The sequence below is a fragment of the Homo sapiens genome, chromosome 5 (assembly GCF_000001405.40).
Source record: "Homo sapiens chromosome 5, GRCh38.p14 Primary Assembly".
NCBI lineage: Eukaryota > Metazoa > Chordata > Mammalia > Primates > Hominidae > Homo > Homo sapiens.
In genome coordinates this window covers 179858898-179882275 of record NC_000005.10, presented here as the reverse complement: position 1 = coordinate 179882275, position 23378 = coordinate 179858898, and the positions used below count along the sequence as shown (strand labels likewise).

The window sequence follows — 23378 nt, the reverse complement described above, 5'->3', positions numbered from 1 at the left end:
AATCAAAACCTGAGGTTAGGGAGGTATATGAGGCTGGGCTTGATGGCTCATGCCTGTAATCCCAACACTTTGGGAGGCCGAGGCAGGCGGGTCACCTGAAGTTGGGAGTTTGAGACCAGCCTGGCCAATATGGTGAAACCTCGTCTCTATTAAAAATACAAAAATTAGCCGGGCATGGTGGCACACACCTGTAATCCCAGCTACTTGGGAACCTGAGGCAGGAGAATTGCCTGAGCCCAGGAGGCAGAGGTTGCAGTGAGCTGAGATCACACCTCTGTACTCCTGCCTGGGTGACAGAGCAAGACTCCATCTCAAAAAAAAAAAAAAAACGGAAGGTATATGGAAAGATATGGAAAATAGAATAAGCTCACTGATTGCCTTATTAATTAAAAATATATCCTTTTGATCAGATGTTGGCAGAGAGGGAGGAAAGTGGGAAGAAAAGGCCTGCTAGCTAATTTCAATATTGCTTGTAGTAGGGAACTGACATCTTAAAAAGAGAGGACTAAGAAACTATATAATGATATTAGCATAAAATGTTACAGTATAAATATACACTTTCTAACAGGGAAAAAAACTTGAAAGGGGGAAAGGAGACAGTGAGATTAAGCATCTCTTTCAAGAAATTTTGTATAAAGGTCAACAGAGTAATGGAGGTAACTTCTGGGAGGGCTAGAATTTTAATTGAAGTTTAACATATATATCCAAAAGTAAACATACGGTGTACAACTGGATGAATCTTAGCAGAGGGAGCATAATAGGTGAACAGCACCCAGCCAAAGTGAGGGTGGGCTTTAGAGGAGTAACAGTGCAGTTCTGTGCTGGGAGAGCGACTCCTGCAGAGAAGGCAGGGGATGGGGTCCAGGTGCAGGCAGGTGGGCGGGCAGGAGGGCACCCGTGGAGGGCTCGGATTGTTCCCTGTTCTCAGTTAAACAGGAAGAAGTGTGGTTCAGTGGGATGCAAGGATGGCAAGTGGTTTTGGAGGTTTATGTGAGGTGGTTACCTCGGGGAAGAGGGGAGGACTGGACTAGGAATACATAAGATCCCAGGCAGCTCTGAGCACCCACCTGAGGCCAGTAAGCCCGAATGTAAGGTGGGACTTGAGCCAAGCTTCTGCCGAAAGCCGCCTGGTCCCTGAGCTTGGTGCCACGCTTGCCGCCTCGCCAGGAGCACACGTTGGCTGCACGCCACACACCCGGCGGTCTGGCCCCTTCCCTGGCCAGGAGCACACGTCTGCTGCACGCCACACACCCGGCGGTGTGGCTCCTTCCCTGGCACTGAGATGTGTGATCCTCCAAGGCACCTCACAGCCTGCGAGCCCGTGTGTGTCCTAGTCGGTCCCTCTGGGGGAGCTCAGGTGGGAAGCAGGATCTCCAGGCAGGCAGTCAGTCTGCGCTGGGGCCGTGCCCACTGGATTCAGGCAGCTTGTCGTCAACATTTGTTTAAGTGGACCCAAAATCCATTTCTAACATCACAGGGGCCAGAGGGGTAGACTGTGGGTGTGAACCTAGCAGAGTTCTCTCTTTTTTTTTTTCCTTTTTCCTTTTATATTAATAACAACTTTATTGAGGTAAAATTGATACGCAATACACTGTACATATTTAAGGAATACAATTTGGTACGTTTTAACAGGTATACGCCCATGAAGCCATCACCACAGTCAAGATCAGGGTTCTCTCAAAAAAACACAGAATGTGAAGTGTTTTAGGAGGGCGCCCAGCACCCTGGCAGCTGCCCCAGCCCTGGGTGGAGTGGGACCGTGGCCACGGGACCAGAGCCAGTGGGAGGGTGTGAGGGGTAGAGAGCCCAGCCCAGGCCAGAGCCCACCATGGGGAATCGACCACCTGCCCAGCCAAGAAGTTCAGGCAGTCAGCTGGCCCTGGTCGAGCTGGGCTCTCCCCCACTGGACTTTGCTTTCTGCCAAGACAGCATCACTCTCAGGCCGGTGTGGCACCATGATGGCAGCAGCAGGCCTTGCATGCTCCCTGGGTTATCCCAACACTCCTGCAGAAGGGCCACTCATTTCCTTGGTAGCAACCGGGTGACGCAGTCGCCCTAAACCCACCCTGAGCCCAGCCCAACATCACAGGCCATCACCCAGCCCTCTGTGCAGCCCAGGAAGCATGGGCCCGAGGGTGGGCAGGGGTGTGCCTCCACGTTAGGATAGGGCCTCTCCTGTCCTTTGCACTGACCCCCCTCAGAAAAGGGCCCCACAGGGTGAGCCCAGAACCCGCTCCCTGAGACTGACTCGCTGGTGAGAGTGGGGTTAATTACTGAGGACTCGGTGTCCAGCAGCCAGAGAGGAGCTGAGGGCTGAGCTGCAGCCACAGCCTCCTGCCCAGCCAGACAGGCTCTTCTCCGTGCACCGTTTGCCCCCATGGCCCTTCTTGCACCGGGCCCCGATCCAGCTCTGGATGGATGGGCGCATCAGAGGCCACCTGGCAGCACAGTTGTTAGGGCGTCCCCTTCCCTGTTTTATTTTCTAGTCTTCCCCAGCTCCTCAGGAGGGGTCGGAGCAGCCCGCCAGCCCAGCCTCTCCCCTCAGCAGCCGCCAGAGCTTCTGTGCGCAGGAGGCGCCAACCGCATCCCAGGGCCTGCTGAAGCTCTTCCAGAAAAACTCGCCCATGGAGGACCTTGGAGCCAAGGGGGTGAGCCCTGAGCGCCGGCACTCCAGCCTCCGTCAAGAGCGGAGCCCTCAGGAGGAAAGCTGGAGCCAGTCCTGGGCCTGGGCCTTCCCTCAGGGCCCTGGGCTGACCGCTGGGCAGTGCCCACCCAGGCTGCACCCTGGCAGCGTGAGACGGAGCAGGCACTCTCTGGGGGGCTCCGCTGACCTGCTCAGTGTGCTGTTTGCCACGGACTCCAGGCCTCTGAAGGGAAGGGCCCTCCCGCTGAGGAGCTGGTCTCCTGAGCCTTGGGAGGTGTGGCTCAGCGCGGCCTGGTCTTTCCCGGGAATTGCGAGGAAGGCCACACTTGCTGGCCAGCACTGTCTGGAGTGTTCACGAGGCTTCCGCGGTGGCCTAGGCCTCGGCACTCAGATGCGCTTCGGCCCCCAGGCTCCCTGATGCGCTTTTCCCTCAGGCCAAGGAGAAGATGAAAGAGGAGTCATGGCACATCCACTTCTTCGAGTACGGGCGTGGCGTGTGCATGTACCGCACAGCCAAGACGCGGGCACTGGTCCTGAAGGGTATCCCTGAGAGCCTCCGGGGAGAGCTGTGGCTCCTCTTCTCCGGTGAGTGGGGTGCAGCCACCCCCAGCCTCAGCTCAGCCAGTCAGTCCCCAAGCTCTCCCCGTGTGAGCTCGTCTGTCCTGAGCCGGCCTGGAGTTGGCCAGGCAGGAGCTCCCAGCTCTTTCACACAGCCGGGAGCCGGGCTCTGGGCTCTGGGCTCTGGCCCGGGACCCAACCAGAAGGAGCATCTCGAGGGACAGAGGCTGGGGAATGGGCACTCTGCTGGCCGGGTGGTGCCCTCCCGCCCACAGCGGGAGGGAAACAGGTCCCCTAGAGGCCTCCTTTCCTTGGGACAGGCTCTGACAGCATTCACACCCGTGGTTGCTGGAAGAGGCAAGTCAGCCACTTGAACTTTCGGGTAGAGCACCCTCCCCAGGAGCACAAGGGAAACCTTGCCTCGCAGCTTGTGCTTGACCCCAAGTCCCACCTCTCCTCTGTGGGGCACCCGGTGACTCCAACCTGCCCTGTTACTGCCCCCAAAGTACCAGAAGAAGGACAGAGACAGCTGGCACCCGTGTCTCCCCAGGGGCCTGGAATGAGATGGTGACTCACCCCGGGTACTATGCTGAGCTGGTGGAGAAGTCCACCGGGAAGTACAGCCTGGCCACAGAGGAGATCGAGCGAGACCTGCACCGCTCCATGCCCGAGCACCCTGCCTTCCAGAACGAGCTGGGGATTGCTGCCCTCCGGCGGGTGCTGACTGCCTATGCCTTCCGAAACCCCACCATCGGCTACTGCCAGGTAAGGGGCCTGACAGGGGCCCAGAGACAGCATCTGCCACCAGAGGTTCACAGGAGCAGGTCCCTGTGGTCCCAGGCCTGTGTGGTGACCCTGCCTTGTGTCCCAAGGAAGGAGCCCAGCAGAAAAAGATGTAATTTAAAAACAGTATTAATTGCTCATCGCATCCCCATGCCGAATAGAAGTCGTCGTCTTTGTACTTTTGTCTGAGTCCCAGCAGCATTTGATTGTTGTATGTGTTTGGTGAAACAGGCACATACAGAACATAAAATGTCCCATCTTCACTGTTTTTAAGCGTGCAGCTCAGTGCTCTAAGCACATTCACACTGTTGCACGCCCGTCACCGCCATCCATCCCCAGACCTCTCTTCATCTTGCAAAACCACAGCTCTGTGCCCATTAAACATGCCCCGATCACCATTAGCAACCACTGTTCTACTTTCCATTGCTATGAATTTGACTACTGTGTCTCATATAAGTGAAATAACACAGTATTTGCCTTACTGTGCCTGGCTTATTTCACTTAGCAAGATATCCTCAAGGGTCATCCATGTCATATGAATGTGTCAGAATTTCTTTCTCAGGCTCCATCATATTACATAGACCACATTTTCTTTTCTTTTCTTTTCTTTTTTTTTTTTTTTTTTTGAGATAGAATCTCACTCTTGTTTCCCAGGCTGGAGTGCAGTGGTGCAGTCTCAGCTCACTGCAACCTCTACCACCCAGGTTCAAGCGATTCTCCTGCCTCAGCCTCTTGAGTAGCTGGGATTACAGGCATGTGCCACCATGCCCAGTTAATGTTTTGTATTTTTAGTAGAGACGGGGTCTCGCCATGTTGGCTAGGCTGGTCTTGAACTCCTGACATCAGGTAATCCACCTGCCTTGGCCTCTTAAAGTGCTGGGATTACAGGCGTGAGCCACTGTGCCTGGCCAGTATTTCTATTTTTAATTTATTTTAAATTATTATTATTATTTTTAGAGACAGGGTCTTGCTATGTTGTCCAGGCTGGTCTCAAGCTCCTTGGACCAGGGGATCTTCCGGTCTCAGCCTCCCAGGGCATGTACCACCACACCCAGCTAATATTTTTTTTTTAGACATGGGGTCTCACTGTCTTGCCCAGACTGGCCTCAAACTCCTAGGCTCAAGTGATCTTTCCGCCTCAGCCTCTCAAAGTGCTGGGATTATAGGCGTGAGCCACCAGCCACCATTCCTGGGCTTTTTTTTTTTTTTTTTTTTTTTTTGAGACAGGATCTCCTTCTGTTGCCCACACTGGATCTCAGTGGCATGATCATGGCTCACTGCAGCCTCCACCTACTGGGCTCAATCGATCCTCCCACTTCAGCCTCCTGGGTAGCTGGAACTACAGGTACACACCACCACGCCCAGTTACTTTTTGTATTTTTTATAGAGATGGGGTCTCACTGTGTGGCCCAGGCTGGTCTTGAACTCCTGGGCTCAAGTGATCCGACCTCCTCAGCCTCCTAAAGTGCTAGGATTACAAAGTGTGAGCTACTGTGGCCTGGCCTATTTTTAATTTTTTGAGGAACTCCATACTTCCTCCCCAGCAGCTGCACCATTTTATATTCCCACCAGCAGTTCACAAGGGTTCCGATTTCTCCACATCCTCATCAACACTTGCTATATTCTGTTGTTGTTAGAGTGATGGGCATGAGGGTATCTAATTGTACTTTAGGTTAGCATTTCTCGCAGCTTTTGATTTTAAATCTAGGCATTTTCCTGGCCAAGTCATATGGCTTTCTGTTTGCCTTAAAGGTCTTGTTAGCAGCTAGGGCTGTGTGTGGTCCTAGTTGTGCACCGAGTGGGTGGCCTTGGTGTGGGGCTCTGGCCTTGTGGCTCACCTCCACATCAGCTTGGTCATAATCCCACCTCCAACACCCAACACCACTCCGCAGAAGTGTGATGTGTTGATGTTCACCTTCTCTGGTTTCCCAGTGCCTTCTGACCCAGTTTGAAGGAGTTGGCAGACTCTCTGTTCCATCAGTTTCCTACAAATTGCCTTTTGACATTTCCCAGAGTTGGGTAGGGGCAGTTTCTCATTACCGGATGCCCAGCCCTCCTGAAGAGGCAGATTTGCTTGTAGGAGGAGGCCATTAATCTTCACCACGAGAACCTGAAAAATAATAAAAATAACAACAACAAAAAGAAGATCATGTGGGCCCTTGCAGGGAGGGGTGGCTGGGAGGGGTGGGGAGAGACAGTTTTATTTGCTGGCCAGCAGTGCAAGCCTTCCCCGGCTGTCTCTGTGCCCGGCAGGCAATGAACATCGTGACCTCGGTGCTCCTGCTCTATGGCAGTGAGGAGGAGGCCTTCTGGCTCCTGGTGGCCCTGTGCGAGCGCATGCTGCCCGACTACTACAACACCAGGGTGGTGGGTGAGTGTCCCCGGGTGCTGCCTCGCCTGGGTCTCCAGGTGCCTGCTGGTTCCATGAGGGTGGCAGCCCTTCCCAGGCCAAGCTCCAGGCTTCACGTGGGTTCCCTAGGAGTTAGAGGGTAGTATTACACATTCGGTGGTTTATAAAAGTCCCCTCAGAGCCTAAATTCCTATCCATCTAACTTCCTGTCAACTTTTTGATTATGGAAAATTTCAAACATCAAAACTAGAGAGTATATATCCCCCATGTAACCTGATGCTCAACTTTACTGAACTCATATCCAGTGAAATCTGTTATGAAGTGGAAATGGACTTGCAAGAGTGTTTAATTAGGTTCATATTTAAGCATGTTATCCTGTCCTTCCCCTGCTGTCTGGTGTTTGGAGTTACCGCTCTTGGGGTCCTTCAGAGCTGCGTCTATTCACAATCATCAGGATGGGACAGAGTCATTGAGGGTGCTGTTTACCTCTCATGCCTTACGGAGAAATCAGTATTTCCCCAAAATAAAATTCAAGTGTAGTAGAAGAAATAGTTATTTCGCCCAGTGGTTTGGGAGCTGTAGAGAGACTTGAAGGGTTTTTTCGTCCTTGTTTTCTCCCAGCACTCCAAGTCTCCCTCAGCCCTCACTGCACAGCTGGCAGGGCTGGAGTGGCCAGGGCTCGTACGCTGCAGGTGAGGGCCCACCCAGGCCACAGGGTGGGCTCACCATCAGCCTCGCTCATCCTGCCCGCAGGAGCCCTGGTGGACCAAGGCATCTTCGAAGAGCTCACGAGAGACTTCCTGCCGCAGCTCTCGGAGAAGATGCAGGACCTGGGGGTGATCTCCAGCATCTCGCTGTCCTGGTTCCTGACCCTCTTCCTCAGCGTCATGCCCTTCGAGAGCGCCGTGGTCATCGTCGACTGCTTTTTCTATGAGGGCATCAAGGTGATCCTGCAGGTGGCCCTGGCCGTCCTGGACGCCAACATGGAGCAGCTGCTGGGCTGCAGCGACGAGGGCGAGGCCATGACCATGCTGGGCAGGTGACATGCCGGGTTCCTTCTCCTGCTGGGGGCTCACAGCAGAACCCCTCACCAGCCCCGGGCACTGTCCAGTCAGCCTGAAGTGACTGTGCCCACCAAGTGCCAGGCTGCAGCTGGACCCGGGGGTGCTCTGGGGTCAGGAGGCGGCTCCTTTCTAGTGGGAGATGAAGCAGCGCTCAGTGATAGGTGCCAGGAGGAGTAAAGCAGGCACTGCGGGCAGAGCATGCTGGCTGGAGGGCCACCGCTCAGATGTAGGGTTGGAGATGCTTCCCCTGAGGGCAAACCAGAGCCAAGATCCAGTGACCACAATTCCAGTTGGTGGCACAGCTGGGCATTTCATGTCCACCAGGTGGTCCCGGTCATACCTCTCCAAGCTCAGCTGCATTGCAGCCCCCATGCCCTGGAGGGAGCAGGCCTGCCCTGGGCCCGCTGGAACAGCTGGATGAGCTGATGTCCCACTAGTCACGCCAAATGTCCAGGGTCATCCCAGCCCCTCCACCCCCTCCTTAGTCCCCACATCCCATCTCTTGCAGATTCTGTCTGGGATCCAGCCCCTTCCCTTCAGCCTGCTGCCTCAGCCCAGGCCCACCATGCCCTTTCCCTGGGGTTCCCCTCTCAGTCTTTGACCTGCCTGCATCCCATGACTCTGATCAGACCTGGCCCTGCCCCTTCCCTGGGTCCTCTGTACAAAGGCACTGTCTGAGCCTCCAGCCTGGCCTTCAAGCCCCGGCCCCTCCTGGCTACACTCTGCCCTGCCCTGAGCTCTGTGCAGTCCCACCCTCCTACATAGCGTATTTGTCCGGACTGGAATGCCCCCAGCCCCCAGGAACAGCCTGGGACTCTGCCACTTGCCCATGGCCAGGCCAGGTGCTGCCTGGGACTCTCTAGATCCAGCAGGGTTGTCACCTCCCTACTGTGGGCCTAAGTAGCTTTTGGTCCACACTGATGTTAAGATACTCAGCCTGTGGCCGGAGTCTGTGGCTGGTTTTCCTGCCGCTTCCTACAATAGGCGGATAGGGCCTCCTCCAGAGCAGGGGTCTGACTGGGGATATGACCAGGGCTATGGGCATGGGGAGTCAGCTACCTCCTCCCACCTGAGTGTCAGGCTCAGCCCAGGGACCCAGAGAGGCCATGAACTCTGGCGGGGCTAGGTCAGCTGACAGAGGTAGGGCTCCATCCCCAGGACTGTGTCCCTAGAGAAGCTGATTCCCTGGGCTGCAGCAGGCCTCCCCACACCTGACTTTCTCCTGCGACTCAACCTTTGATCCCTGAATCTTCTTGGCCAGGGCGAGAAGGTCCCACATCCCCAGGGCCCCGCCAAAGGGAGGAAGCTCGTCATCCTTCCAACTGGGTAGGATCTGGGGTTATAAGGCGTTCCTGCCCAAGGGACCCCCCCACTGACTAAGAAAACAGCCCAGCGTCCTCAGGGTTAGTGCTCAGGCCTTGTCGGGGGCACTGCCCTGTAGAGGGCTCCCCAACTTGCTGGGGGCGCTGCCAGGGCACACCTCTGCCCTCCTGCAGGGTGCCCAGTCCTCTGCACACTCCTTATTAGGAGTCTGCATAAAGATTGGGTCCCTCCGCATCACCCAGCTGTGGGAAGGAGGCTCCCTCTGCCTGGGCGTGGTCTGGACTGTTGTCCTCTGTCCTTTGCAGATACCTGGATAATGTGGTCAACAAGCAGAGTGTCTCTCCTCCTATCCCGCACCTCCGTGCCTTGCTGAGCAGCAGCGATGACCCCCCTGCAGAGGTGGACATCTTTGAGCTCCTGAAAGTGTCCTATGAGGTCAGCACCCAGTGGGGCCATTTTGGCCAGGCCGCTCCATCTGGCATGTGGGTTGGGGTGGCTATGGGCAGGTGGTGGCCCTCTGCCCTGCAGTTGGCTTGATCTCACCAAGTCACCTCTCCCTATAGAAATTCAGCAGCCTGAGGGCCGAAGACATTGAGCAGATGCGGTTTAAACAGAGGCTGAAAGTGATCCAGTCCTTGGAGGACACGGCCAAGAGGAGTGTGGTATGGGTGCCAGCAGGGCTGGGCAGGGGCTGGGCTGGGGGGGCAGCAGTGCCTTCCCCACAGAGCAGGGTGGGTACAGGGCTCCACCGCACCCAGTCTCCTACACTGCTTTGGTATGTACATCATGGTAGGATTCATGGGACCGGGATCCAGGGGTGTAGGTGGGAATGTGGGGAGAGGTTCCAGTCACTTTTCTCTGCTGGTGGATGTGTCACCGGGAAGCTTCTCAGATGGCTCCCACCCTGAAAGCCACATGCCCAGCCCTCTGGGCCGAGCCCGCCCAGCCTGGCTTCCCATGTGTTCCCTGCCCCACTCCCAGGTAGCAACATGCCGCCATCCTCCGCACACCCCAAATGGCATGTGTCTGCCACAAGCTGCTGTTCTCATCTCTAGAGGGGCCAGGCCCTCCCTGCCACCCTGTGCTGCAAGACCTGTTTGTGGTCTCTGCCCCCAAAGGCAGGGACTTCCTCCATTGTTTCCACATTCCCAGCCCTCCTGCAGGCTTGTAGGACACTGTAAGGACATTGGGTCGCAGCACCACAGACTGACTGCTTTGGCCAATTAAAGTACAGGAGCATTGGCTGGCAGGTTCTCGGCCTCCTTCCACAGAGCTGGCACCAGGGTCTCTGCAGGGATCCAGATGACGGGAGCCAAATGAGTATCCCTCACTCTGCGACCTCAGCTGCACGTTGAGGACAGAGGCTCCCCCACGCCCATCCTGGGAAGGGGCCCGGAGTGTGAGAGAGAGGCTCCCCCACGCCCATCCTGGGAAGGGGCCCGGAGTGTGAGAGAGAGGCTCCCCCACGCCCATCCTGGGAAGGGGCCCGGAGTGTGAGAGAGAGGCTCCCCCACGCCCATCCTGGGAAGGGGCCCGGAGTGTGAGAGAGAGGCTCCCCCACGCCCATCCTGGGAAGGGGCCCGGAGTGTGAGAGAGAGGCTCCCCCACGCCCATCCTGGGAAGGGGCCCGGAGTGTGAGAGAGAGACTCCCCCACGCCCATCCTGGGAAGGGGCCCGGAGTGTGAGAGAGAGGCTCCCCCAAGCCCATCCTGGGAAGGGGCCCGGAGTGTGAGAGAGAGGCTCCCCCACGCCCATCCTGGGAAGGGGCCCGGAGTGTGAGAGAGAGACTCCCCCACGCCCATCCTGGAAAGGAGCCCGGAGTGTGAGCTGAGTGGTAGGTGGGGGGCCAGGGATGGGCTGTGGGCCTCGCTCTCTCCCGAAGGGTCCGCCCTTGAGTGCTGGGCCACTGAGAGGGCGGTTCACACCCTTGCCCTTGTCTGCCGAGGATGCTCTCACAGAGTGCCGTACTTCTGTGCCAGGAGCTTGTGATCCAGCTATATACCCTGTTTCTCCTTCCTTCTAGGTCCGAGCTATACCTGTGGACATTGGTTTCTCCATTGAAGAGCTGGAGGACCTTTACATGGTGTTTAAGGTGACAGCTCAGAGCCAGGGCAGGACCCGTTCCTAGCTTCCTAGCTTCCTGCCAGAAAAGAAATGGATCTAAGAGTATCCTCTTAGAAGTAGATAGAAATAGGGAATAGAATAGAAAAACAGAAACAGATCTAAGTGCATCCTCAGATGCAGTTGCCATGAACCTCCTGTGGTAGAATCGAATCCCTCTTGGAGTTTAGGCAGGACCTCTTAAATGGCAGCAAATCCATTCAAGTCATCTTACACAGAAGAGGGAATACATTGCCCCTGTATTGCTAGACTGAAAAGTCTAGCAATGCACAGCTTCAGGCATGGCTGGATCCAGGTGCTGAAATGTGCCGTCAGGCTTCCCCATCTCTGATGTCCTCTGCACTGCTCTTCCTACACCATGCCAGGACTGTCGTCACAGCTCCAGGGTCATACTCTCTTCTCAGTAATCCCAGTGCAAAGAGAATTTTTCTTTCCCTTGTGCTTTTAGCAAAAGACCCAGCCTTAATGGTTGGAATCTGCCTTTCTGTTGTTGTTGCCAGTTCCCGTCCACCTCTCCAGCTGCCTCAGGTTCCGTGCTCAAGGTGGCTGCTGCGCTGTGGCCCTAGCGTCACAACAGTTGAGCCAGCTCTGCCTGCCTCCTAGAGAGGTCATAGGAGCGAGAGCAAGCCTCAGGCCTCTTGTTTCCCTGGAGCCCTGCCAGGAAGGCTCAGCCCTTCTCTGGGGCCAGCAGACCAGCTCTGCCCCCTGCAGGCTGCCAAGGACTCTGTCTCTCAGCCAACCCCCTCCCCATCTGTTAACAAGGGGCTGATGACAGCCTGAGAGCTTTCGGGAGGTGCTGCAGTGTCTGGCCCGTGCTTACCGCCCCAGGGCTCCGCAGGCTTGGACAGAGGGGGAGGGTGGACACACCACCAGCCTAGGGGTCCCCTCGACCCACAGGCTTAGCGGCTGGACCGTCTCACCAGACCGTGTCCCACAGGCCAAGCACCTGGCTAGCCAGTACTGGGGGTGCAGCCGCACAATGGCCGGCCGTCGGGACCCCAGCCTGCCCTACCTGGAGCAGTACCGGATTGATGCCAGCCAGTTCCGGGAACTCTTTGCCAGCCTGACACCCTGGGCCTGTGGCTCCCACACACCTCTGCTGGCAGGGCGCATGTTCAGGCTCCTGGACGAAAACAAGGACTCGCTGATCAACTTCAAGGAGTTCGTGACAGGGATGAGTGAGTGCCTGCAGGGCCTACCAGGGGCTTGACCCTCCCTCACCCTTTCCCAGGAAGCCTCCAAATGCCAGCATCTCCTGTCTGTTCCCCCTGCAGCAAGTAGGGGGCAGCTTGAGCCCCTGGCCCTAGATACGGGAAGAACAGTTTACCCACGGGAGCCGAGATGGGGTCCAGCAGGAGCCTTGCCCGCTCCCCTCCCTCATGCAGTCTGGGGCTGCTAGAAGCTGGTCTGCCAGCCCCAGGGAAGGGCTGAGCCTTCCCAGCAGGACGCCAGGGAGACAGGAGATCTGGGACTCACCCTGTGACCTCTCCAGGAGGGAGTTGGGCAGCACAGGCTGTGAAGAGGGTCCTACTCGGACCCCCTGGAAGGGGCTCTGCAGCCATGTTGCCAGACCCAGCCCTCCCTGGCCTTCTCCACAGGCGGGATGTACCACGGGGACCTGACAGAGAAGCTCAAGGTGCTCTACAAGCTACACCTTCCCCCAGGTGAGAGCCTCCTGCCCACTCCCCAGCCAGGGTCTCCCACTTGTCCAGAAGTTCAGCTGCAGAGGACAGGCCTCTGTGAGACTGTGGGGCCTCGAGGGGGCACAGCAGCGTCGCAGGCTGGAGGTTCACATTGGAGGAGAGGGAGCGGGAGCTTGAGCACTTCACAGAGGTCTGAGAGCAGGGCCTTGGCCTGGGAAGGGACGTGGAGGAGAATCCCATGGGTGACCGGGCACTGCTGGGTACAGAACTCCCACCGAGGAGGCAGCTGGACCCAAAACCCACTAGGAGGGCCATGAGTGGAGCTTCAGGGCTGGAACCGAAACTGCTGCATTTATCTGTCAAGTTTCTTAAGGGTTTATTCCCAGAGTTTCAGCTAGAGAATCCTGTCACATGGCCATGAGGAGGGGCCACTTCTCTCTGGCCTCTCAGTGGTGCTGTAGCCTAGTGGGGCTGCACTGGCGACAGGCTGTCTGTGCAGGGGGCAGGGCTCAGCAGGAGTGGCTGCATGGACAATGCTCCAAGGAGGGGTCATCTCCCTCATCACAGAAGGAAACAAAGGCGCAGGCAGGTGGAAATCCTGGGCTGGGCACTCTGCTGTGGCTGGACCTGCCCCAGGTCCCTGCTGTCGCTTTGCCATCTGAGGTTAGCAGCTGCCCTCAGAACCGACCCCGGGGATGTTTAGAATACTGGGGCTGAGCTTCACCCGAGGAGATTCTCACTTGATTGCCTGTGATGGGGCCCAGACCTGTGGTTTTTAAAGCTGGCAGGCCATTGCTCTGTGCCTCCAGAGCTGAAGGCTCTTGACATAGCTGTTCTCGTTTGTGGCTGGCTCACCAGAGAGGCCGTGGTAGGACAGACCCCACTGGGCCTGGTCCCAGGGTTGAGAGCATGCGGGGCTACCCTGAGACTCCTGAGCCTCCTCAGCCTGCCCTGCCCTGTCCTGTCCAGACACAGAGAACACTTGGGCTCTGCTGGGCTTGTGGCCCATGCCCGCTACACTCACCCAGGACCATGCGATCCGCAACCCTGGGTACTGCTTGGTGACCTCCAGCAAAGACTGCACTGAATGAGGCCGGCCAGCACGCACAACGCGGCCCGACCTCTGAGCTACCCAAAGGGAGAGCAGCAAGTTGCCTGTGCGTGGCTGGTTCCTGTGCGCCCATAGGAGCATGAAACGCCCCCAAAGGGCCCACTGGCCAGATGGTCACTGGGGCAGGCGGGCAGCTGCCATTCACTGGACTCCTAATTGTGTTGATTGGATTTTTACCTGGGACATGTATTTCCTTTTCAAACACAATGTCAAAGTCAGGAAAGCGGCTGGATGCAGTAGGAGGCCCAGGCGGGTGGATCACTTGAAGTCAGGAGTTGGAGACCAGCCTGGCCAACACGATGAAACCTGTCTCTACTAAAAATACAAAAATTAGCTGGGCGTGGTGGTGTGTGCTTGTAGTCCCAGCTACTTGGGAGGCTGAGGCGGGAGAATCACCTGAACCCGGTAGGTGGAGGTTGCAGTGAGCCGAGATCGTGCCATTGAACTCCAGCCTGGGCAACAAGAGCAAAACTCCAGGCTGGGTGCGGTGGCTCACGCCTGTAATCCCAGCACTTTGGGAGGCTGAGGTGGGAGAATCACTGTAGCCCAGTAGGCGGAGCTTGCAGTGAGCTGAGATCATGTGACTGCACTGCAGCATGGGTGATAAAGTGAGAGTCCATTAAAAAAAAAAAAGCTGAGGAAAGTAACAAATAACCAGAACCAATCATCACCATCAAAACTATTACCGGGCACTGTCATGGGCAGGTGCTGGGACTGGCCAGGCTCGTGGGCAGGGAAAGCAAGGCTCTGCCCAGGGCTGGAGGGAACTTACTCTGAGAGGATCTCCTTGTTTCCTCCTGCCCTCACTCTGCCTTCTCTCCAAGCACAGCTCTGAGCCCAGAGGAAGCCGAGTCAGCCCTGGAGGCGGCCCATTATTTCACAGAGGACAGCTCCTCAGAAGGTGAGCGGCCACTGGAACACCCGACATGCCCAGCCAGCACTCTGCAGCCACCGCCGCCTTCCTGTGGGGCTCGGGCAGTGGCCAGCAGTCCCACCTGGGCTCAGGGAGCAGGCCGCATGGGGTTCTCCCCAGGGGACCACGGGCTGGGCTCTGCCATGCTGGCGGGGGCTGGGGCCGCCCCCTGTGGATGTCCTCACTCCTGTTTCTCTTGTGTCTCTGTCTTCCTGGACCTTGGCTCCTCCCCACTCTGCCCCTCTGCCTCTCCTCTGCTGTCCCTTCCAGCATCTCCTCTGGCCTCAGATCTGGATCTTTTCCTGCCCTGGGAGGCTCAAGGTCAGTCCCTGGAAGGCAGGGGCGCCCCCTGTACCTCCTAACACTCTTCCTGCACTATCAGGAAGCCTGGAAGCTCTTTGTCCCAGGGACCTCTCTGGGACTTCATCCTCTGGGGCATAAGTTCTGAGAAGGACCCAGAAGCAAGCCACTCCTCTGCACCGCCTCCGTGTCTGCTGTAGGTGGGCGGTAAATAAGGCCCCCACACTAGGCGCCAAGCAGGCCCAGGGCAAGGCCTCCACAGCCACATGTTAGAGACATTCTGTCTTCCTGTGAGTAGGAAACAAATACAAAATGCTGTCATTGGAGCGTGTGAAAGACACAGTGTGGCTGAGTGGGGGCTGGAAAGAATAGTGGATGCTTTCCTAGGAAAAATCTTCATGTTCCACGTCACGTTTTTTGTTAAGGAAAAACACGCATGTTGAGTGCCTGTTAGAACTCATCCCTGTGCTATGTTTAAAGCCTGTTGGGAGCATCTGATCCCAGGTGATGGGAGCATGCTAGGCCCTGGGCTTTCGCAGTCGAGCTGGTGACATGCAGCACACTTGCAAAACCGACCATAATGCCACCTGGTGGTTTCACATGGGGGATAATGCACACCAAGGAACCGACTCAAAAGAGAACCAAAAATAGTGTGTACCAAGATGCCCATGGCAGTCCTGGTGACAGTGGCAGAGGCTGACTTGAGCTTGAGGACCTTGATTTCAAGGACAGAAACTACAGAAGCAGGTACACCTTCTGTTGTACATGGAACCAGCAGGCCACTCTAGGCTTGTCCCGCATGCTTCTGGGAGCGGCATGTTGGTGCAGAGCCCTGGCCTCAGACCGCATGTGGCCCCCAGGAAGCAGGGCCTCCATTCCAGGGTGAGTTGCCTGAGCCCAGAGAGGTGTGCCCTTCACTGCCACCAGACAGCCAGCGAGAGCAGCTCAGAACTGGGGTGCTGCCGACCTGCCTGAGGTGCCCCCACCAGCCACACTGCCTTTGGGGAACAGCTCCAGGAGAGCTGGTCGGCTGCTTCTCTCCCCAGGTGCATGTTCCCACGCAGGGAGTATAGTGCGCGCCAGTTCCGGCAAATGTCCTCCCCGAAACGCTGCACCAAGCACAGGAGCTGTGCACAGACCACCCCTCAGTAACAGGCACAGCAGGCGCGGGTGGAAGGGGTCATTAGGGTTCCCCTGAGTTCTAGCAGGAACATTCCCCAGAGTTCTAGCAGGAACTATAGAATTCGTTAGTCCTCAGACTGGTCTATAGCCCTCATCATTGTTCACGTCAAAACCAGCATGTTGAGACTTGTATTCATTTGAAAAAAGGAATTGAGGGTTTGGCGGCCTTTATTTTAACCTGACCAAGTGAGGGAATGCTCAGGCCCTTTTGCTCTGGTGCCATAGGGCGGGGCTGGGCGGGCCAGGCAGGAGGTGTGGCATGGGAGACCTGCTCCCCAGGGCCTGGCCTGGGGCTGGCTGTACAGAAACACAGACTACATCTCAAGGACCCCAGGAGCTTGCAGTCCCAACAGCAGAATGTTATTCATGTTCTTTTTATTTTTGCGTTTGTCCAGAAGCACTACCACAGGAAGAGCAAGAAGGAAGTGGAAGTGAGGAGAGAGGAGGTACAGGCCATTCTCTGCCGCTGTTCTTAGAGACCCCAGCGTTGAGGCACCCTTGCTTGCTGGTCTTTTCCCCAGTCACTGCCAGGGAGCCCCCTACCCCGGGAGATGGCGGATGCGTCCCCCGATCAGGGAGCAGGCCTCGGGATGCACAGGAGGCTCCACGCTCTCCACCAGCCCCACGGGCACCCAGCCAGCCCTCTCTTGCCAGCTTCTCTCCAGCTGCCCTGTGACTCCCCATCTGAGAGAAGACATTGTGGATCATTGTCATCAGCTTAGGTCCAACCACTGCAGCAATTTAGGGAAAACCTGTGGCTGTTCTGGGTTTTTTTCCCATGACCACCTTCCCAAACGCCAGGGTGTTTTATGATAGGGCCCTGGTAACTCCATGCCAGAAAACACCCAACTCTTCCTCTCCCTGCTGTCAGCCCGCAGCCGTCTCACATGACAAAGATTAATCTCTTTCCTCCTAACCTGCAGAGGAGAAGGGGACCAGCTCTCCGGACTATCGGCACTACCTTCGAATGTGGGCCAAGGAGAAAGAGGCTCAGAAGGAGACGATTAAGGATCTTCCCAAGATGAACCAGGTAGGCTCCACTGGAGCCCACAGTAGACATTTCTGGAGAGTTCTGACCAAGACTGGGCCCTAACATCACCGCACCTGCACTGCAGCATCTCCTGGTGGGTGGGAAGGCTCCTCCCTGCCTCTAGAGCCCGTTAGTCCTGGTTGCCAGTCAGCGATGATTCCAGAAAGACAAGAGGCCAGTTGCTCCAGGGCCTTGTATAGGGGCATGTTTCCAGATTGAGTGAGTGTCTGTGAACCAGGAGCCAGAGGCTTGTAGGCTACCTTTGACAAGATATGCGTTCCACACCCTGCACCCTCCCAGCCCTGCCCAGGGCTCTGCACACGCAGGCTCACATGCATCCTCCACACCCGCTCTTCATTCACTGGTCTCGCAGATCAGAAGCATGGTGTCTTGCCAAGGGTCTCAAAGCCAGAAAATGGGAGACCCCAGCTCCAAACTGCAAGCGTTGAGCCAAAGGCAAGTCTGGAGCACCAGCCTGACCATGGCCCTCGGGCCAGACCCACGGTCTAGCTGTGCCCAGTAGGGGACCCTGCAATCTGACCACTCCCCCAGCAGGCCTGGAGGGTGGGCACCACGTGCGATGAGGATTCTTCCCATTCTTGGGCCAGGAGGCCTAGACGTGTGGCTTCAGGACCTAGCACCCACCCTCCCCAGCACCCCCCTCCCCAGGATCCCCCTCCCCAGCTGACCCAGGCTGTATTTTCCTCACCATCACCTTCTAAAGAGCTTCATTCAAGGGCTGAGTTGAGGCTGCTTCTGATTAAAACCAAAGGTGATTCTAAAACACAACGAAGTCCTTGTACTGACTGGATTTAGAGTCGTGGTAGAAATCCATCTCCCTGTGCCAACAGAACGGACCTAGAAACAGGGAGGCCCCAGGTCAGACCAGCATGCTCTGAGTGCCAAGAGAAAGGCAGCTGGAGGGGAAAGCCTTTTGAAGAGCTGTGTGGCCTCTCTGAGCCTGTGTCCTGATCTGTGAGATGGGACTGATGAGGCTCATGGAGATGATTAGCAAGACGGCAGCCAACATCCTTAGGCTGGTGCTTGTCATCAGTTTGGCTAATATGGACCCCGTCTGACTGGTCTTTTACCATCTCCCTGTTCTTCTGTTTTTCTCCCTAAAAGGAGCAGTTCATTGAGCTGTGCAAGACGCTTTACAACATGTTCAGTGAAGACCCCATGGAGCAGGACCTGTACCACGCCATCGCCACCGTGGCCAGCCTCCTGCTCCGCATCGGAGAGGTGGGGAAGAAGTTCTCAGCCCGCACAGGCAGGAAGCCCAGGGACTGTGCCACTGAGGAGGACGAGCCACCAGCACCCGAACTGCATCAGGACGCAGCCAGGGAGCTTCAGCCCCCAGCTGCAGGAGACCCCCAAGCCAAAGCAGGCGGAGACACACACCTCGGAAAAGCCCCACAGGAGAGCCAGGTGGTGGTGGAGGGGGGCAGCGGCGAGGGACAGGGCTCACCCTCCCAGCTGCTGTCTGACGATGAAACCAAAGACGACATGTCCATGTCCTCCTACTCGGTGGTCAGCACGGGCTCCCTGCAATGTGAAGACCTTGCAGACGACACGGTGCTGGTGGGCGGGGAGGCCTGCAGCCCCACAGCGCGCATCGGCGGCACCGTCGACACCGACTGGTGCATCTCCTTTGAGCAGATCCTGGCCTCCATCCTGACGGAGTCCGTGCTGGTGAACTTCTTTGAGAAGAGAGTGGACATTGGACTCAAGATCAAGGACCAAAAGAAAGTGGAGAGACAGTTCAGCACCGCCAGTGACCATGAGCAGCCTGGAGTTTCCGGCTGATGCCTGCAGCTGTGAGGCCTGGCCCAAGGTGTCATCAGTGGGGCTGGCCTCATCTCCTCCTGCCTTTCCTCCCTTATCAGTTTCTCTTTAAAGGTGTGCCCCTCCTGCTCTCCCAGGAGCAGTGAGTTGTGAGTGGAAAGAAGGCTGGTGCAGACCCAGCTGCCTTAGACAGATTCCCTGGGCCTGCATCTCCTGGCGCCGGCTGCTTCTGGGCCCAGGAAGAGGCTGTGGCTCCCACCTTCCTTACACCTGGTGGGAGCCCGCCTCGCACCAGCTGCACCTGCCTAGCATTACAGGCTCTCAGATCTGCCCTTGCTTGCCTCATACCTCTGTGCTCCACACTGCGGCCAGGCCAGCTGAGTCCCTCCATCCGTGGATGCTTTCCTGCAGCTATGTGGTATGGGGGTCATTCCTGCCTCTTGGCACCAGGTTGGGGGGCATGTGCTTGTTGGGCACCAAAGTGATGGAACCCTCAGGTGCTCTCCGGGAGCCTGAACCTCCTGACTGAGGAACATGGGCAGAACATGTTTATTGCACAGAGTGGGCGCTGCGCACAGGCGTGGCTGTACACGTGCTCTCAGCTCATCATCCTTTCCAGTAACTTTAAAAAAACATCCCTCAGGTCCTGATATATTTCCTTGGATTCATTTCACTTGGCTAGAAATTACACTGTGCTCAATGCCTTAATAAATCCCTGAAAGAAATAAAAACCACTGTGTGCAATGCCTTGCTGTGGCCCCCAACCACTGCTTAGGCCTCCCAACTTCTCCCCAGGCCAAGTATGGGGCCCTGGCTGTGTTCTGGAAGTTCAAGACACTTAGTCCTCCACAGTGGGTGGAAGAGTGCAAGGTCTGCCAGGTCAGATGGAGACGCAGAACCTGCTGGTGCAAGCTGGGCAGGTCCTGACCAACCTGCATCAGGGGATGCCCTGAGCTCCACAGGTCTTCATGGGCAGGGGTTGTGGGTCCTGGTGAAGGAAGTGCATCCTCAGGCCTGGGCTGTAGCAAGCTGTCTGCCCTTGGGTTCAAGAACCAGACTGTGGAGCCAAAGGTGACCGCAGGGGGCCCCAGGGCTGGAGCCACAAGGATACCCTCACTTTGCATGAGGAGCTGAAACTGACCAGTGTCCAGTGTTAGCCCCCACATGGGGCTGCTCTTGCTTCTACTAAAAGATACAGCAGTTACCCCCTTATCCACAGGGGATACAGTGGATATCTAAAACCAGACCCCCAGTGGATGTCTAAAACCACAGATAATAACAAACCTTATACATACTGTTTTTTCCTATGCATACATACCTGTGATTAAGTTTATGAATTAGGCACCTTAAGAGATTGACAACAATAACTAATAATAAAATGTAACGGTTATACTGTAATGAAAGTTGTAAATGTGGTCTGTCTCACAATATCTTCTTGTACTGTACTCATCTCTTTTCCAGGTGGCTGTTGACTCTGGGTAACTAAAGCTGCAGAAGGTGAAACTCAGGTACTATTGTATATCTCTGTGGCTGCTGTTTTTGTTTTAATTAAGTAGCTTTGTTTTTTTGTTTTTTTGTTTTTTTGTTTTTTGAGACCAAGTCTTGCTCTGTTGCCCAGCATGGAGTGCAGTGGCGTGATCTCAGCTCACTGCAACCTCTGCCTCCTGGGTTCAAGCAATTCTTCTGCCTCAGCCTCCCAAGCAGCTGGGACTACAGGCGTGCACCACCACGCCCAGCTAATTTTTCTATTTTTACTAGAGATGGGGTTTCACCATATTGGCCAGGCTGGTCTCAAACTCCTGACCTCGTGATCCACCCGCCTCGGCCTCCCAACATGCTGGGATTACAGGCGTGAGCCACCATGCCCGGTCTGCTTGTTTGTTTGTTTTAGAGACAGACTGGAGTGCTGTGGCATGACCATAGCTCATGGCAGCCTCAAACTCTTGGCCTGAAGTAATCCTCCTGCCCCAGCCTCCCTAGTAGCTGGGACTACAGGCATGAACCAGCATGCCTGGCTTCAATTTCCTTTCTAGTATTTACACAAAGTACCATAAAATAATTTCAAATGATTTATACCAAAAAGACCATTGTTGGCCTTAATATAATTAAGATATAATAACCCCACATATTTGGCAATTTTAAGTCTTACACTGATTATATTCAATTAGATTTGAATAACTTGGAATTTGGATAAATGGCTTTTTATTTCCCATTTTTTGTCTTTACAGAGGTAAGATAAATGTTTTTAATATATGGAAGTATAAGCTTGTGAATACACCAAAGAAATTAACCAAAGAATAGGAAAGAGGAATCTGGCCTATTCACGTGATACAATGTACGAAAATGTACAATAGTACTTTAATCCATAAATCATTCAACCTGGGAAGATAACTCAAAATGTTTAACAACCAGAACAGTAACATTAAATAATATATAGATAATACAAATAAAAAATTTAAATTTTATAAGTAAACATGAATATTTTAAAACTGCTTACCAAGTAATATAAGTTGCATCAAACCACTCATCAAATCATTCTTATAATTTCCAAGAAAAAAAACTATATACATGAATTTTTAAAGGATTACCGGTTCATTGCCAAAAGGAGAAAAATATACAGAAAAGTAGAACAATTTTTCCTAGTGCTACAGATTACTCAGTATTTTGGTGTTTATTCTGTATTTTTTTTCAGAGTTTAACTGATGTCATATATGAAATTTTTATTCTACTCCTTTCATTAAGCATAAAACATTTTTTGCAGATGCTTTCTGTTCTCAGCCACAGTAGCTCAAACGTAGAAATGAAGGAAAACCACCCAAATGAGAAACAGTATTCAGAGCTTGCTACAGCAAGGGAGTCAGCAACATCCCCGGTGTGGGTAGGCGCAAGGACGCAGGGGGTGGAAAACGGGGAAGGCTCCAGGTGGTTCTGACCGCAGGCTGTTGGAAACTGGAGGTGAGCTAACAAGAAGCAGGATGTTTTCTGTGACTGGTTTGGGGAGCGCTTTCTTGGGTTGGTTCTGACATGGGGAGGGTGGTACAAAAAATAGAGGAGCAAGCAGTCCTGACCACGTCCTTCCCAAGCAGCCGACTGCCCGGTTACTGCAGAGGCTGCAGTCAGTTTATTGTCATTCGTTATCTGACCATTGTCTATTGGCATATTGTCTCTCAATTTTTTTTTCTAACTACTTACTGTACAAAAGTTGGAAAAATTTAAAAATTAGCATTACCTACGACCTTAGCCACACACACACACACACACGCCAGAAAATAATGCCGGTGTCACAGAAGTCAAACGATGTACTGTAATTCTGTAACCTTGCCTCTCCACAGCACGTTGTCACTTCAAACTCAGGTTCTTGCTGATGGAACTGCCTAAGAGTCCGTGCCGTTCTTCAGAACACTGATTTCCATTTCTTCCTAGTATTCTTCAGGGAACACTAGGGAATGAATAATAAATCACCTAGGTGAAGGGATTCCTTTCTTGGGGTAGCAGTATTGCCAGGTTGCTTTCCACGGTTTTGCACTTGACCGTTCTCCCAGCACCCTGTCAGAGGGGTAGCCCTCCCTGCACCCTTGTCAGGATTGGGTGTTTTCTTCAACGGGATGGTTTCTGCTGTTAAAAGCGAGTGTCGGCCGGGTGCAGTGGCTCACGTCTGTAATCCCAGTACTTTGGGAAGCCGAGGCGGGTGGATCACCTGAGGTCAGGAGTTCGAGACCAGCCTGGCCAACATGGAGAAACACCGTCTCTACTAAAAATACAAAAATTAGCTGGGCGTGGTGGCGGGCATCCGTAATCCCAGCTACTGGAGAGGCTGAGGCAGGAGAATCACGCCACTGCACTCCAGCCTGGGCGACTGAGCGAGACTGTCTCCAAAAACAAAAAACAAAAAAAAAACACCTCGCTTTTTTGGTGATAGTCACTGTGTAAAAGTTGGAAAAAAAATTAAAATTACAACCCTAGACACCGAGGGTTGTACGGTGGGAGGTAATTTTAATATTTTTTGTATTTTATTTTCCAACGAGGTTACAACCCTAAGCCACACAGGGTTGCGGCGTGAGCGTCGGGCTGCGGGGGCGCCTCCACCCTCCGTAGGGTGGGCCTGGGACGCTCCCGGGGCTGCAGGGGGACCGGCTTCGCGCTCGGCGGCCGCGCGCCTCCGCCGCCCTCTCCGGGAAGCGTGGGTGTGGTGAGCCCCTCCGTCTCCCCGTATTCCACCCCGGGCTCCGGTTCAAAGGCTAACTGTTCGCTGCTACCTAAAAGCACGGCAGCGCAGGCCTGGCAGGGCGGCCCCTCAGCCCCGCTCCGCGTTGTGTCCAAGGACTGGTCAGCGGAGGCCCTGTCGTCTCAATTCCAGTCTCCCCAGGGCCGGAACCAGTGCCTTAGGAAGATGCGGGCACGGCCCTGGTCAGACGACGAGTCGGCTACCAGGAATCCCGCACCCAGGACTCTTTCCGAGGTCGGAGGGGCGCAGATGACCAGCGAGAGGCGCGGCAGGCTAGAGGGATCCCAGTGCGCAGGGGCGGGGCCGCGGCGGCCGGAGCGAAGAGTATAAGCGCATGCGAGACGGC

At 55.2% G+C, this 23378-nt stretch overlaps 1 protein-coding gene and 1 long non-coding RNA gene across 3 annotated transcripts in view, besides 4 other annotated features; one reads left to right on the top strand and one right to left on the bottom strand.

The window, feature by feature from the left end:
- The window catches only part of TBC1D9B (TBC1 domain family member 9B), a 45827-nt gene extending 25622 nt beyond the window's left edge, over nt 1-20205 (top strand). Inside the window, exons 8-22 of one of the 2 annotated variants that reach the window (NM_198868.3) lie at nt 2487-2648; nt 3079-3229; nt 3753-3967; nt 6239-6356; nt 7089-7374; nt 9028-9157; nt 9286-9384; nt 10746-10814; nt 11781-12021; nt 12442-12507; nt 14427-14498; nt 14781-14831; nt 16388-16438; nt 16916-17022; nt 18148-20205. In NM_198868.3, coding sequence (NP_942568.2) covers nt 2487-2648; nt 3079-3229; nt 3753-3967; nt 6239-6356; nt 7089-7374; nt 9028-9157; nt 9286-9384; nt 10746-10814; nt 11781-12021; nt 12442-12507; nt 14427-14498; nt 14781-14831; nt 16388-16438; nt 16916-17022; nt 18148-18828 — 2499 coding nt within the window. In that variant the 3' untranslated portion in view covers nt 18829-20205. The remainder of the gene's footprint in view (nt 1-2486; nt 2649-3078; nt 3230-3752; nt 3968-6238; nt 6357-7088; nt 7375-9027; nt 9158-9285; nt 9385-10745; nt 10815-11780; nt 12022-12441; nt 12508-14426; nt 14499-14780; nt 14832-16387; nt 16439-16915; nt 17023-18147) is intronic. The other variant, NM_015043.4, reaches the window with a different exon arrangement.
- Nucleotides 5953-7152: an enhancer, noted in NCBI's record as "CDK7 strongly-dependent group 2 enhancer chr5:179302124-179303323 (GRCh37/hg19 assembly coordinates)". NCBI's record gives its function as "activates an origin of replication core promoter dependent on BRD2, BRD4, P300/CBP, MED14 and CDK7 cofactors, with strong dependence on CDK7, by STARR-seq in HCT116 cells {active_cell/tissue: HCT116}" and the evidence as "EXISTENCE:reporter gene assay evidence [ECO:0000049][PMID:35650434]".
- Nucleotides 14603-15129: an enhancer, noted in NCBI's record as "H3K4me1 hESC enhancer chr5:179294147-179294673 (GRCh37/hg19 assembly coordinates)". NCBI's record gives its function as "activates a minimal SCP1, AML or CMV promoter by ChIP-STARR-seq in naive H9 embryonic stem cells {active_cell/tissue: H9 hESC(naive)}" and the evidence as "EXISTENCE:reporter gene assay evidence [ECO:0000049][PMID:30033119]".
- Nucleotides 20206-20992: 787 nt separating the features above from the next.
- MRNIP-DT (MRNIP divergent transcript) lies at nt 20993-23273 on the bottom strand. The gene is made up of 2 exons (NR_134283.1): nt 23064-23273; nt 20993-22246 (listed from the first exon to the last, which is right to left on the bottom strand). It is a non-coding gene; the product is annotated as an MRNIP divergent transcript (long non-coding RNA).
- Nucleotides 22898-23027: a silencer, noted in NCBI's record as "silent region_16752". NCBI's record gives its function as "represses an Ori minimal core promoter by ATAC-STARR-seq in GM12878 lymphoblastoid cells {active_cell/tissue: GM12878}" and the evidence as "EXISTENCE:reporter gene assay evidence [ECO:0000049][PMID:35858748]".
- Nucleotides 23098-23297: an enhancer, noted in NCBI's record as "active region_23766". NCBI's record gives its function as "activates an Ori minimal core promoter by ATAC-STARR-seq in GM12878 lymphoblastoid cells {active_cell/tissue: GM12878}" and the evidence as "EXISTENCE:reporter gene assay evidence [ECO:0000049][PMID:35858748]".